This window comes from Homo sapiens, chromosome 3 (assembly GCF_000001405.40).
Source record: "Homo sapiens chromosome 3, GRCh38.p14 Primary Assembly".
NCBI classification, from domain to species: Eukaryota; Metazoa; Chordata; class Mammalia; order Primates; family Hominidae; genus Homo; species Homo sapiens.
This window is the reverse complement of record NC_000003.12, coordinates 64,954,799-64,971,123: the sequence shown is the minus strand read 5'-3', so window position 1 is coordinate 64,971,123 and position 16,325 is coordinate 64,954,799. Positions and strand designations below refer to the sequence as shown.

At 38.9% G+C, this 16,325-nt stretch overlaps 2 long non-coding RNA genes across 6 annotated transcripts in view, besides 1 other annotated feature; one reads left to right on the top strand and one right to left on the bottom strand.

Moving 5' to 3' along the window:
* Positions 1-16,325, bottom strand: part of ADAMTS9-AS2 (ADAMTS9 antisense RNA 2) — a 326,599-nt gene that overhangs the window by 40,345 nt on the left and 269,929 nt on the right. The window lies entirely within an intron of this gene.
* The window catches only part of LOC105377124 (uncharacterized), a 99,923-nt gene that overhangs the window by 5,125 nt on the left and 78,473 nt on the right, over positions 1-16,325 (top strand). The gene's annotated exons all lie outside the window — the stretch shown is intronic.
* Positions 11,743-11,943: a silencer, noted in NCBI's record as "peak4685 fragment used in MPRA reporter construct". NCBI's record gives its function as "represses an SCP1 promoter by STARR-seq MPRAs in K562 erythroleukemia cells {active_cell/tissue: K562}" and the evidence as "EXISTENCE:reporter gene assay evidence [ECO:0000049][PMID:32103011]".

The window sequence follows — 16,325 nt, the reverse complement described above, 5'->3', positions numbered from 1 at the left end:
AACAACAAAGGAGAAGCCACCTAGAAAGCATCTTAGAGGGGGTGACATTTAAGCTAAAACAAGAAGAGAAGAGGAGGAATGCCAGCATGCAAAGGGAGAAGGAGGAGACTGTTCCACGCAAAGGAAAGCACGCTAGCAAAGAGGACCATGTGACTATAATACACAGGTCAAGGGAGGGCCTTCAGATGAGATTGGAAGGAGAGGTAAAGAGCAGCCAGTTCCTACAGGGCTGAAGCCAGGGTTAAAGCATATGTCTAGGGGAAATATACATACAGTGATCACTCGGAGGGTAGTGTGAGGCACAGATTGGAGGGGCAGTGAGAGTGAAAGCAGACAGCCCATTAAAAGGCTATTTTAATAGATCAAGTGAAGGGGAATGATTCAGAGTCAGTAGTCATGGAACTGGAGAGAAATGAGCAGTTTCTAGGCATATTTGAGAGACAGACCCAATGAAACTTTCTAATGGATTACATGTGGTTGACAAGAGGGAGGTATTAAGGCTGATGCTCAGGCTCTGAGTTGATGAACTGGGTAGATGGCGGTTTCATTTACTGAGATAAAGAAGGCCTGAAGAGAACATTTATGAGGAAAAAAAACCAAAACTACTTGATGACAAGTTGTCTGCTGGATATGGAAGTCTGGTGTCCAGGTGAAAGGCTAGGTTAGAGGCAGGCACATGCGCATCATGAGCTCATAGATGACATTTAAAAGATAGGACAGAAAACCAACTTCTGGCATGATGGAAGGGGGAGACCAGCAGACTTTCTCCCCCATAAAGCAACCATTTACTTAAAGAAAATTACGGTTTAAAAAATCATTTAAAGCTTCTGGAAATTGTCCTACAATAATTGGAGAAATATACACTCAAGTATATTTACTAAATCTCAATAAGAACAGTGATAGTCTGTGACATTTGAGACATGACACTTCTCTGCCAGGTCCATCTTATGGAATCATCTGGGAAGGAGTGGACTGCTAACGTTTTCTATCCTCCCCTACAAGCCCCATGTTGCAGAAGCTCTATTCAGAGAGGACTAGTGCTCCTTCCACCTAGCCCCCACTTTAAGGACAGCAGTTATAGTTCAGACGTGGCAGGCCAAGAATTTTGCACTCCAATCATTCTTGATCAGCTTGCTGGTAGGACAAGAGTCCCATATTAGAAGGGTCAATCTAGAAAAACCACGGGCCACTATCATTTCCTAATGTCTGCTCATAGAGTAGTTTCGTCACTCTAGCAGTAGGCTTCTCTTCCCACCCTGAGCTCTTCGGCAGTGGCATAGAGCTTTAGCCGAGGGGGAAAAGCAGGTTGCTGTAGCTCTGCCTGAGGAGACTGACTTCATTTGGAGCACAGCATGGAGAATTTCATTTCTAGAGTGTTGTCAAAAACAAGGGAAATCTTGGTAGAGAGAAATTAAGAGGGTGCTCATAGCTCCATAATACAAGCACAACAACAGAGCAATTAGAGGTTTACTAGACTGGATCATGGGAAGAAACAACCAAGAAGAGTCCTCCTGGGAGCACAGTCAGCCTTGGGGGTTGGAAAGGCTGTACATGAGTGATTGGTTGTACCTACTTGGGAGCATCAGAACAGGAAATGAAGCAAATCTGAAAACTTTCCCATGCTGCACACAGATCCATCACAAAAAAAATGCAAGCTGGCACTGGCACTATGGATTAAAGATAACCTCCAACTAAACACTGGCTGAACAGTAACCTACTCTAAACCTGAAGCAACTCCTAAGAGCTATGCTTAAAAATAAAACCACATGTATCCCTAACAATCTGGAAGATTGTGTGTATGCTCAAAGCTGCACCATCCTAGGAGTGAATTGGGGGGGTGGGCGGCGGGGGGGATAAAAAGCGACTAGTTCCTGGGTAGACAGGGAGCAAAAGTGTAAACTTCTTCACCTGTCAGAGCAGCCTCCAAGTTACTTATACGTCTAGTGGTAAAGGGAAAAAATTTAATTGCCAAGGGGGTAACTTTTGATCAATAAGTGGCTTACATGCCAATTCATGAATGATCCTAAATCACTCAGCAAAAAGTTTTAAAAAAAGTAAATAACATGAGGAAGGACATCAAAGGCTGCACACTAGAGGGAAAAATACTTCATAGGGTTAGTTAACTAAATCATTAAACAAATAAATCAATGACATGGAAAACAGCAGCAATATCAACCCCTTAGGTGCAGAGGGGTAGGGGATGGACAGGAACTAGAATCAATATCCAGAGTTGCTACAATATATTATCTAATATGTCCAATTGTCAACAAAAAATGTATAAGACATTTAATGAAGGAGAAAAATGTGACTCATGTTAAAAGAAAAAAAGCAGTCAAAAGTAATTGTTTAAATAAACTTAGATATTTAAAACTTCAAAGCAGCCACTATAAATATGTTCAAAGAACTATAGGAGAACATGTTTAAAGGATTAAAGGAAGGAATGAGGACAATGTCTTACCCAATAAAGAATATCAATAAAGAGACAGAACTTATATATATTTTTTAAAGAGCAAAATAAAAATTCTGGAGTTAAGTATAACAAAATTTAAAAAACACTAGATGGGCTCAGAAGTAGATTTTAGCTGGCAGAAGAAAGAATCTGCAAATTGAATATAATAAAGATTACCCAACATAAAAAAAAAACGGAAAAAAATAATAAAGAAAATGAACATGGCATCAGAGAAATGTGGGACACAATTAAATACATCAACATACAAGTAATAGAAGTACCAGAAGAAAAGCACAGAGAGAAGGTAGAAAAACTCAAAAAAATAATAACTGAAAACTTCCCACATTTGATGAAAAAAAATTGCTTATCCAAGAAACTCAACAAATTCCAAGTTGAATAAATACAAATAGACCACACTCAGACACATAATAGTAAAATATGTGAAAGTCAAAGAGAAAGAGAATGTCTTGAAAGTAGTGAAAGGTGAATCACTCATCACAAACAAACTCCAATGGGATAGATGGCTGACTTTTGATCACAAACAATAGAGGCCAGAAGGCAGTAAAATGATATGTTTAAAATGCTGAAGGGAAAAAAACTGTCTACCAAGAATTGGCCAAATTATCTTTTAAAATGAAAGGCAAAATACATACTTTGCTAGATAAATAAAATCTGAGGGAATTTGTTGCTAGAAGACCTGCCTCAAGAGAAATGCTACAAGAATTTTTGTAGTCTGAAAACCAAGTGACATCGGACAATAATTTGAATCCACACAAAAAACCAAGGAATAGCAGTAAAGGTGTAAAAGACATTGTAGAGGGATGTCACTGTGTAGGTGACAAAGTAGGAAGCTCCAAAAATCAGTCCCTCCGCTGGAAAAAAAAAAAAAAAACTATTGAGAAAGAGTTAATTGTCAGAATTAACTATTTTTAAAATCTAGAGCCTGGTCAAACACTTGCACTGTGCAGGGGAGTGCTTGAAGTAATATATTTTGGTGAAGTTTAGCATTTCATGGAGCAGCTACCATCTCTTGTTCCCTGGGGCAACTGGTATCTGTGTGGATGACAGTTCATGTTCCTGGTGTGGCTTGCTATTTCCAAGTTGGAGATAAGAACCGTGTGCTTCAAAGATCAGGGTTGCATTTTTTTTTAAGGGTCATGTGTTTTGATTTGCCTCGTGGATCACTGAGGCACTAGGGCAGGATTTAGCCATTGTTTCAACCCACTTGGACTGAAATGGCCTTCCAGGCAGCATCGGTCAGGGGGAATTTAAAAGAGCAAAACACCTTATTTACTCTTTCTTTATTGGGTTAAAATATCCAACAGAGTCTCTGCCAGGCCATTGGCTGACTGCTGAGATAACAGAATAGAGACATCGGTGCCACACCTGACAAGGGATATAGTCTTTGCAACACAGTTTAGGAAAGTCACTAAACAAACGGATGACTGCACTTCTCAATGAACAGCATCAGCAATTTCTGGAAAAGGAAGATAATTTGACTTCAAGAGTTACCCCATTACAATGTTCAAAATGTCCAGTTTTCAACCAAAAAGAACAAAGCATACAAGGAATCAGAAATGTGTGGCTCACAGGGAATAAAAAATGAGAGGAAACATCCATGAAGAAACCCAAACATTGAACATACCAGAAAAAGACTGTAAATTAGCTGCATTAATATTTTCAAAGAGCTGAAAGAATCCAGGGATAAAGAACTAACAGATATCAGGAGAACAAAATCTGAACAAGTCGTGGGGTACATACTTAACACAGAACAATCAGTTGTGTTTCTATATGCTGGAAATGAAGAATTTAAAAAGGAAAAAAAATCCTTTTGATGATAGTATGCAAAAGTATAAAATACTTAAGAATACATTTATCCAAGGAGGTGAAAGACTTATATACATAAAACTACAAAACATTGCTGAAAAAAAAATTAAAGAAGACCTGATTAAATGGAAAGATGTTCCATGTTAATAGTTTGGAAGATTCAATGTTGTTAAGATACCAGTATTCTCCAAAGTGACCTACAGATTCAGTGCATCCCTCTCAGAATTCCAATGGTCTTCTTGCAGGAATGGAAATGCCAATCCTCAATTTCATATGGAAACGTGACGAGCCCCAAGTAGACAAAACAGTATTTTAAAAGTTGAAGAACTCACATTTTCTGATTTCAAAACTTACTACAGAGCAACAGTAATCAAAACACTATGGTATCAGCAGGACAACAGACATATGGGCCAATGGAAAAAAAATAAGTGTTCAGAAATAAACCCAAACGTCTATGGTCAATTGATTTTCAACAAAGTTACCAAGACCATCCAATGGGGTAAGAATAGTCTCTTCAACAGATGGTGCTAGGACAACTGAATAAGTACATGTAAAAGAATGAAATTGGGCCCCATCTCACTATATATGAAAACTAACAATGGGTCAACAAACTAACTATAAGAACTAAGAATATAAAGCTACTAGAATTGTAAAGCTTAGGGACACATCTTCATGAACTCATTTGGCAGCAGGAGATTCTTAGATTTGACATCAAAAGCATGAGGGACAAAAGAAAATATAGAAAAATTTGACTTCAGAAAAATTAGACACTTTGGGGCATCAAAGAACATTACCAAGAGAGTGAAAAGACAATCTACGAAGTGGAAGAAAATATTTGCAAATCATACACCTGATAAGGGTCTATTTAGTAATTAGAATACATAAAGAACTCTTACAACTCAAAAAGACAAACAATCCAATTCAAAAATGAGCAAAGGGCTGGGTGCAGTGACTCACGCTGTAGTCTTAGCAATTTGGGAGGCTGAGGCAGGAGAATCACTTGAGCCTGAGAGTTAGAGACCAGTCTGGGCAACATAATGAGACCCCATCTCTACAAAATAAGAATAGAAAAATTAGCCAAGCATGGTGGTAGTTTGTGCTTGTAGTCCCAGCATCTCCAGAGGCTGAGGTGGGAGGCTTGCTTAAGCCCAAAAGGTTGAGGCTGCTGTAAGCCATGGTCATGCCAGAAACTCCAGCCTGGGTGACAGGGTGAGACTCAATGTCAAAAGAAAAAATAATGGGCAAAGGCTTGAATAAATATTTATCTAAAGAAGATATACCAATAACCAAACACACATAAGAAGATATTAAACCTCATTGGTCATTAAACAAATGTAAATAAAAACCACAGTGAGATACCACTTTACATCCCCTAGGTTGGCTATGGAAAAAAAAAATAATAATAATGTTGGCAGGATATGGAGAAATAGGAACCCTCGTATATTGCTGGTCAAAATGTAAAATGGTCCAGATGCTAGGGAAAAGAGTTTGGTGGTTTCTTAAAAAGCCAAACATAGAACTACCATATGACCCACAAATCCATTGCTAGGTATACATCCAAGAAAAGTGAAAATATTGATCTGCACAGAAACTTGTACGCAAACGTTTAAAACAGCAGTATTCATTATGCCCAAAAGGTATTATAGAAATGTAAACAATGCAAATCTCCTATAGGTAAATGGATAAACAAATTATGGTATATACATACAATGAGTATACATTAAACCATAAACAGGAAAGAAGTACTGACAGGTGCTAAAACACAAATGAACCATGCCAACATTATGCTAATGAAATAAACCAGACAAGGGTCGCATATTGTATATTCCTTTGACATGAAATATCCAGAATAGATAAACCTATAGAGACAGCAGATTAGTGATCACTAGGGGATGGGAGAAGATGAGTATGGGAAGTGATTGAGTACAAACCATGATGATGAAAAAAAATTTTTAAATGTATTATAATTTATTTGCACGGATGGGGTCTCACTGTTTCTCAGGCTACTCTCAAACTACTGAGCTCAGGCAATCCTCCCACCTCGGCTACCCAAAGTGCTAGAATTACAGGGGTATGCCACTGCACCCGCCAAAATAGTTTTGTTGTTTTTGTTGGTTGGTTTGTTTTTGAGACACAGTCTCGCTTTGTCGCCCAGGCTGGAGTGCAGTGGCACTATCTCGGCTCACTGCAACCTCCATCTCCCGGGTTCAAGAGATTTTCCTGCCTCAGCCTCCTGAGTAGCTGGGATTACAGACGCTCACCACCATGTCCGGCTAATATTTCTATTTTGTGATTTTTGTAGACACCGGGTTTCCACATGTTGACCCGAAAAAGTTTTCAAACTAAAGAAGATGGCGGATGCAATATTATGTGAATGCACTAAATGATATAGAATTCTGTACTTCGATATGTTTAATTTTATGTTATATGAACTTCACCTCACTAAAAAAAAAAAAAAAAAAAAGATTAAAAAGTCAACATAGGCTGGGCATGGTGTCTCGCACATGTAGTCCTAGCGCTTTGGGAGACCTAGGCAGGCAGATCACTTGAGGTCAGGAGTTGAAGAGCAGCCCGGCCAACACGGTGAAACCCCATCTCTACTAAAAGTACAAAAAAATTAGCCGGGTATGGTGACTGACGACTGTAATCCCAGCTACTCGGGAGGCTGAGGAAGGAGAATCACTTGAACCCGGGAGGTGGAGGTTGCAGTGAGCTGAGATCATGCCACTGCACTCCAGCCTGGGTGACAGAGACCCTGTCAAAAAAAAAAAAAAAAAAAAGAATGTGCATATAACTGTATTGTTGGACTTATAGTGTATGGAAATGTAGTACATCTGAAAACAACACCACAAAGGAGATGGGTGTGAGCAAAGCAGCTTTGGGAAATGATACCAGATGATGTCTCAAGTCCATAGGAAGAAATGAAGTGAATTACAAATAGTTAAGATCTACATAATAAACTATAAATATGTACTTGATCTCCTCCTTCTTCCAGGTTCTGTAAAATACATAAGATTATATAAAGCAATAATTATTTTAATGCACCATTGGGTTTATAGCATATAAATTGAATATATTGAACAATAATATTATAAACTGGGGAGAAAATAGAGTTGTATAATAGCAGTAAAGTCTCTATGTTTCACTGGAATTAAGTTAGTATAAATATGAAGTAGATTTTGATAAGTTAAGATGTATATTATAGGCCCAAGAGGAAACACTAAGAAAATAATTCCTTATGAAAAAATATTAAATAATTAAAATGTTATACTAGAAAATATCGATTAATCATAAAGGAAAACATTAAAGGAGGAACAGAGAAACAAAAAAGAATTGAGGCATAGAAAGCCAAAAGCAAAGTGGCAGAGGTAAATCTAGCCTTATCAATAACGCCATGAAACATAAATAATTACAAAATCCATTTGAAAGTTAGAGATAATTGGATTGAATTAAAAACCATAACAAGGTCCAACTATATGCTGTCTACAGAAAACACACTTGAGATTCAAAGATACAAATAGGATGCAAGCAAAAGGATGGAAAAAGATATCATGCAAACAGCAACCATAAGCAAGATGGAGTGGCTATATTAATATCATACAAGAGATGTTAAAACAAGAACAAAGAAAGGGTGAGATCACCCACAGAGAAGGTAGTGCTAGAGAAGAGCAGGTTTGGGGTGAAACTCTGGATTCTCAAATTTAAAGGTAGGATGGAGAAGTAGGATCTTGAAAAGGAGACCCCCAAACTACATTTTCCCAGGCTATGATGTAAGCACACAAGTTAGGATCCTTCAGTGTCAGCCCTAAGAACATAGCAGTTGAACCACTCTGCTCACACATTTACCCATTTGTTTTTTTTTTTTTGGAGATGGAGTCTTGCTCTGTCGCCAGGCTCAAGTGCAGTGGCATGATCTTGGCTCACTGCAAGCTCCACCTCCCAGGTTCACGCCATTCTCCTGACTCAGCCTCCCTGAGTAGCTGGGACTACAGGCCCCCACCACCACGCCTGGCTAATTTTTTGTATTTTTAGTAAAGACAGGGTTTCACCTTGTTAGCTAGGATGGTCTCAATCTCCTGACCTCCTGATCCAACCGCCTTAGCCTCCCAAAGTGCTGGGATTACAGGCGTGAGCCACCATACATTGCCTACCCACTCTTGCCTAAAGAGTCAATGAAAGACATGAACAGTGACTTCCCAAAAGCAGAGAAATATAGTAACAGCTGGAACTAGAAACTACGATCTCTTCTCCTACATCACACACGCTCATACATGGCAATGATACAGATGTACTGTTTAACGTTTCCTTCTTCTCTCATATTAGCTCAGCAAATCTGCATCACTGTTTTGGGAGCCCCCCAAAGGTCAGACATGTAGAGGTGCAGCCTGCCTGGGACTCTGATAGAAAGGTTCAAATCAATTGAATTAGCTTGGGTTGACCACACATTAGGTATGTCATTGTGGATAACTGGTTAACTTTCCTGAATCTTAGTTTCCTTATCTGTGACATGGAAAAGACCCACACGGTGAGGGAGGTATGATTATGAAGAATGAATGAAGAGCACAGGATCCCTTAGAGTTCAGCCTACATTCCAGGAGCCAAAAAGATTTGAAAACCAGTCACTCTGTCCAGCCGTTTAAGGGTAGCATGAAACTTTCAAGAGGTAATGCCTCGGCAGTGAGAACTTATTTCAATAAATAGAAAAATAATTTGGAAGATTCCAGTGAAAATACTGTGCTGTGTGTCAGATGCCAAAGAAGAGCCGCCACAAAATTCCCACTCTTTCTGACAGCTAACCATAATGCAGGATTTACTAATATCTACTGTAGAATGAATGCACAACAAATCTTGCCATGAAAATGCCAGAAAATTAAAGTGATTTTTGGCACGTAAGTGTGTTATAACCTAAATGGCTAAAGACATCGGGTAAATGCCCTTGTGTGTTTTTGTTTGGGTCTACCATCTATACAGTCAGGGTGTCTCACTGTGATAAGAATTCTACCCCAGTGCAATTGCAGATTCTACTGCAGCAGAATCAGATTGGTTTCTTAACAACAACAAAAACCAAAACAATAATTGCTTTTAGAATAACAAATCAATATCATCTTAAACACAAATTAAGCCAGCTCTCCTGAGAACATGAGCAATGATATGGGAAGAGATTAGACAGTTTGGGAAATCACAGGACCCCCCCATAGACTATACCATAGAGTCTGATGCAACTTGCACATGCAGAATAACTGCAACTTGGGCCAATTTTCAGCTTAAGGAATTTTTATTGGTAACATCCTATTGCCAGATACCATGGAAGACTGAGCTAAACATTGTGTTACTTGCAACCTACCATATGTTGTGCCATTAGCCTGGGCTCCAGAGTTAACCCATATATTTTAGTCTGTTCCAATTCTAGGAAATTGGGAGCAATCACAATCAGAAGGATTCTGATTTTCACTGGAAGACAGATTTGGGTGATGCCAAGTACTTTTTAAATATTATCACTGCCAGTGGAAGGAAGAAAATTGCAGATAGAGTAGAAGTTTCTGCTTTCATGCTGAAAAAACAGAACATTAAGATATGAACAAGACTAGAATAGTTAGGTGCTAAATAGTGATCTTGACTCATTATTTGACAGTGCTGTCTATAGGACTTTATAAGTGAAGTAAATTGGAGCTCTTAATGCACTTTCTTGGAAGAAATTGTGTCCTCTTGGTTTTAGATGGCTGATGGGGAGTAAGAAGCATCATTTATTTAGAAGAAACTGGGAGGGGGGAGAAAGAAAGCAAAGGTAATCATAATACATTTCATTGCTATTATTCATAAAATTGCTATTTTAGGGTGTTTTGTTTTTTGTTTTTTGTTTTTCCTTTTTTGAGGCAGAGTCTCACTCTCGCCCAGGCTGGAGTGTAGTCATGCAATCTCGGCTCACTGCAACCTCTGCCTCCCGGGTTCCAGCAATTCTTTGCCTCAGCCTCCCACGTAGCTGGGATCACAGGCACCTGCCACCATGCCCGACTAATTTTTGTATTTTTAGTAGAGACGGGGTTTCACCATCTTGGCCAGGCTGGTCTTGAACTCCTGACCTCGTGATCCACCAGCCTTGGCCTTCCAAAGTGCTGGGATTACAAGCATGAGCCACCACGCCTGGCCTTTAGGCGGGATTTTTAATGGTGCTAATCAACGCTTCAATTAAACAACGAGTACTATTTAAAAAGGGAAAAGGAATTTACTGACATTTATAGGAATTCTTTTTTCTCTTCCTAGCAAGAATAGATGCTCTATTCTTGCCTGTATATGGGTTTTTCTTTCTTGTAAGTTGACATTTGCAATTTATGGATATTATATTAAAATATATTAAAAATATAATGTCCTTTTTTTTCTGAATGATAGGAATCAGCTTAGCATGATGCATTTCTTTTTGGTATAAATAAAGGGTAATGGTTGAATTTATGAAAATCAATCTAAAAACACAATTTATTTTGATTAGAGCTGAATCTTTTCTTGAGTTTTCCTTATTACATTATAAGTCCTTTATCCTTTACATCTCTGTTCATTAATGCATGAAGCCAAAAATCATTAAGAGTGCTGCCTCACTATAAATTACTGGGACTAGCTTTCTGTGCTAGAGTTTTATACTGACAATAGCTTCTAGGGCTATAACATTTTCATTATAACTGCTCATGTTAACTGGCAAGCATTACATCATTGACAAGTCTCCAAATCAGAGTGACTGCTGAGTGTATCCATTCAACAAAAATATCATTGCATATTGTTTTGAAGAATAGCCTTAAGAGCAGAAGTGTATCTCATCTTACCAAATGCTTTCCCCATCTTTAACTAGTTATTCTTTCTGATAACCTTATGACAGAGTCCACTATGAACATGCCCACTTGAAAAAAGGAAGAAGAGAGAGGAAACATTCTACAGAAAGGGCTGTGTCAGAGGCTACCATGTTGCCAGTGTCATGTTCTGTTGGGAACAGCTGCCTTTCAATGATTTGCCTCTTTCAATGGTCAATTATGTTCCAGAATGGCTGATCAGATCAATAATAGTTCTTAAATTGCTGAGGAATCTGAGGCTGGGTTGACAGTTAAGAACATCCTCTCCTCCTCATTTCAGTCAAATCAATCAGCCACAGGCCTCCTACAAGGTAACAAAATTGGCAGGGCTGTGAGGTCTGATATTCCAATTGTCCTTCCAGGGAGGAAAATCATCCCTGGAGTCTCAGAGTCACAGACTCTTATAGTTTAAAAGAAATATCCAGTGGTTCTTAACCATATCTTGGATCATGGACTCCTGTGAATCCAACACAAGCCATGTATGGCATCTCTTTCCCCAAAAATACACATAAAATCTTCCTGTAATTAAAGCTCATTCATGAAACTCACCTTTGCTTTTTCAGATGATGAAATACAGACTCAAAAAGGTGAAGTTACATGCCCAGGTTCACATAACTTCCAACCAGGGCCCCCATCAAATTCTCTATTGATACCTCTTGAGAGGTCTGAGGTAATAAGGTCTTCTTTATCTGTTCTAGGAAACAGTACTCTGGTTCTATATAGTTCAGCTTCATTCATGCATTTAACAATATGTGTTGAGTCCTAGAGCCAGGCACTGTGCTAATTCATTCTTATCTTCCACAGCACTGGTCCCACAAACCAAAGAAGAATCAAAATGGCAGTCTTACATGTTGATTTTACTTGTTGGAAAAGTTACAGAGAATGCTGTTTTGCTGATTCTTTTTGTCAGATGAGGAAAATAGACCTCTAAAACAAGTCTAACTTGCCTTAGAATCCTTAATGTACCTCTGGTCCTTTTAGAATCAAACCCAATTCTCTGCCTGGTGTTAAAGACCCATTCATACATGTAAAATTTTATGTTCTGTCTCATCTTTCCAGATTCCTGTACTGAAAAACGCTTTGCTTAAGACACACATTCTACTCTGTACCAAATCATTTAAAAAAAAATCAGTACTATTCTTCATTCAAGTGATTCCCACCCAGAAATCACTATAGCTCTATCCCTCCTTCAAGGCCTGAGTCCTATTACCCTTTCTCTCTGAATCCTATCCTGATCACCTGACTCAAAATCTCCACCTCCCCTTTTCCTCATAATTCCTGTAGCTCATGTGACTATGTCCACTTGGAGGATAATGGTTGACAGTCCTGTTTTATTTCTTCATGCATATATGACTTAGCACCACTAAGAATGTCTATTGTTCATTATATACCCAACTTCCCTTGACAGATTGGTTCAAATGAAGTCTCATAAAAAATGGTCTCCCTTCAAAGGAGTCCCAGATTATTTCTATTTTTAGTAATTGATGATTAACAGAAAGCCCAGTCTATCCACATGTTGAAATCCTGGAGTCTGCCTTCAATGTGGATCCCTCGGCCAAGAATACGCTTCTCATTTTTATTTTCTTCCAGAGTCCAGAAAACCTTGGAAAGCTGCCTTAAGGGGTGATGGAATGAAAAACCAGACCAAACCAGGCAGACATGGGTTCTTCCCTAAATGAACATTCCATAAGCCCAACACAGAGCATCTTCCATTTCAGTGCTCAGCCCCCAAATGCCTCCTGGTTATAATTAAGTACTTCAAAGTTTTCCAAACACCCTTTTAGAAATCCGGTCCCAAATAAAAAATAATGTTCAATCAGATGTAAATCATCGCACAGCAGGGCAGGAGAGGCATGGGAAGTGGTCATCTGCACTTGGACTAATCAGCAAGTCTAGTCCCTTGATGAGGATTTTCATTTTCTCATTTGTCATTCTAGCCACTGAATTCTCAAGTGGCCAATTTGTTCCCTATTGGTAATCAGCTAGTTATTTTTCTTCTCATTTCTCTCTCTGGGATTGTTGGACTGTTTAGAGCAATTCATCACCCATTTGGGACTAATCCTTCTGTGGAGGGAAGTGGGGGAGGGAAGCTGTTATCCTAGAGAAGATAAAGTAGAAGACTATTTCCCCATTTATATTTGGTTGTTAAACAATGATTTCCCCAATGAGGTAAGTGAAATAATGACATAACTGCCTAAGAGTGAAACAATGAAAGCTTTAGGGGTAGGTGCCTTATGCAATGGAAAGTATCCCCAGCTGTGAAGTTTGTTACTCCGAAATGACTTGTTCTTAGATTGTCTTTACAACCCCCAAGGGAGCATCATCTTACATTCATTACCTAAGTTTGGAGGAAGCTGCATCTATGAAGATTATAAATGCAGAAAGAGAGTTTTAAATATGTATAATGCATTGGTGGAAGCAATTTTACCCCATCAAATAGGAAAAAGGTAGCCTTTGAAGGTTGTTTTGTCTGCAACAAGCAAGTTCAAACGTTCTTCCATTTGTTCTCGCCAAGTCTTCTCGATTACAGCATCTCACTTTGGTTTGCCTTTTGTCCTCTCTTTCTCCCTCCAGCAGTTGCTGTCTCTCTCTGTCTCCGATAAAATCATTTCCAAACGTTTTCAGGGATTCCATTTTTCTAAGTTCACGTCAGGTGCCATGGAAAGGTTGACCCCACCACTCATTGCAAACAAGTCTCTGGTGTCGGTGCATTTTCTAATTAGTGGGTGTCTAAGTTGATCTCTCAGATTTCCTTCCGTCCTTCTGAAGAACCTAATTTCAAACCCTCAAGGCTGACTGTGTTCACCAGAGCCAAAGGTTCACATTTCCGAAGTCCACGTTCAGCCTTAAGAAAGATGTTAGTGTGACACAAATTGGCATTTTCTTGGCAAGTTTTTTTGCTCACAGCAAATTCTTTATTCCTTGGAAGGAAGCTGAGAGTTGAAAACCCCTTCTAGCTATTTCCTTAGAGACACTCTGAATTCGGGCAGCAACGTGATCTGAATCTTGAAATGTTTATCTTCCTCCACCGTTTTTCATTTCTTGAATCCTTTCTTGTGTCCTTTATTCTTCATATAAACATCCACATATGTAACTTCACTTTTAGGTGGGTCTAGCTATAAGGAAAATCAAAGGAGACAGAGAAAGCACGTTTACACACCCCATATCGAGTGTTCTTGCTTTTCTTCTGCCAATTCCCTCCACGCATGGCTGTTTTCACAATGGGTGATATCACCCAACAGCTGTCTTGGACTGGAAACTAAAATGCTTGTAGAATTTCAGTTTTTTGTCTTACCTACTTAAATTTGTCCCTTTTCCAAAAACACTAAAAAAATAAAAAAAAAGAATAGTTGCCTTCAGTGGGAAATTATTCCTATAACTGAAAATAAGTTGTTTTATAACTTACTCTGCTAAGGTTTTGTTGTAATTGCCCCTAATTCTAAATTTGCTTTCGAGAATCATTAACTGTGATTATATGGACATGAGCTTTTATATTTGGTATTTGATAAAACAAGAAAATTGATTTTGTAAAAATCTGTTTTCCATCTGCAATTTGTGAGCAGGAAATGGGTGGAAAGAAGTAATGCGTTACCTGCCTGGTGTTCTCAGGCTGACCTAAACCAGAACTTCAATATCTCATGTACTGCCTATTGGTTGTTTAGCCTATGGATTTGCTGAACCCAGTGAGCAGAGATCTCTGTGCTTCATTCTAGGTAATTAATCTGGTTATTTACTGATGTCCCTCGACCTCCCTCCTCTGAAAACAGCAGGTTCCTTCATTATCATCAAAAATTGCTTCCTCACTAAAGTCTTGATTTCTGAGATTCTTATTAGGTTGGTGCAAAAGTAATCGTGGTTTTTGCCATTACTTTTAATACTTTTCTACCTGTTTTTCCATTGTCTTATCTTGGGTCCCATCCTCATTACAATATCTGTCCACTGACCCTTTCCCCTACTTTGAACATTATGTTATTCCCAAAAAAGTGTACTCATGACAGAGTGTGAAGATCTCCAATGAGTACCACTCCTGAAATCCACAGACTACCACTGTTTCACAGTGGGTACCTGCAGACATTGCTTACTGCTCCACAGATTTTCACAAGTTAAACAAATCTATTTAACCAGCACCTAGATCAAGGACAATTTCTGAATTTTTATAGCCGCTGGACAGAATAATGTCTGTTGAAACTAATAAAAAATGGGGCTTATATTTTGTCTCTTTATTCCATTTGTAATCATTCAATTTTCTTGAATTTAAAAAAATGTATTGGCCTGTGAATCGTTACAAATAAATAACCAAATAAAATGAAACAAAACTGGTCCTTCGCCTCTGATCATTTGAAAAGAACTGATCTAGATGACCTGAGAACCCCTATCAGATTTTGTGTCTGGTTATTTTCAGCTGCTAATTTGAGCTTTCCTCTGAGAACCAGCCCTTCACGTGAGGCCCAGCTTTCTGAACAGTCAGGATAACACCCCTGCTCATCAGAGGCTGCTTCACTCTCCCAAGAGTCCATGTCTGTGGGCTTAAATAGAGTTAACACAATGGGTCTGTTCAGGGCCTTGAGTTGATTTCCTTGGGGTCCCTGCCTTGCAAATATCAGTGGGGCTTGGATACAACAAGGAAAAGAGTCCCTGGCTGAAGGCCAACCTCGAGTGTAATGATTACATCATAGTATACACTATAGAAATTATCTTCCTGGTTCTTATACAGAAGCTGACAGTCAGTACTGGACTTTTCCTCCTCATGTGCCAAGATTATCTGCCAATGTCAACTTTTCCTGTTGTGAATGGGTACAAGTTGTGATATTGCCATTCAAGGACTTCCAGTAGCAGTAAGAGGAAAATTATGAACCAGCTCCCCTCAGAGAGGAAGTGCCTTTGCAAACAGGTCGTCAGTCATGAGCATAGTGGCTGCCTCCTTCCTCCCAGGAACAGCCCTGCCTCCTAAATTGCTGACTCTCCCCTCACAGGCTGTTTGGATTGGCATGACTGTAGGACGTGTGATAGAGGCAGCGTTTGGCATATTCCTACTTATCCTACAAGCACTTTGGGAAAGAATTAACTATGTGTATTTTCCTGGAAAGACATAATTTCCGTTGCTCATTGATTGTGTCTTTAATTTATAACAAATGCCTTGAAAATGGGACACATGTGATGTTATAAGCCTTCTACAAGCCTCATTCTCTAGGTTTTTTAATTCCTTCAGGAAT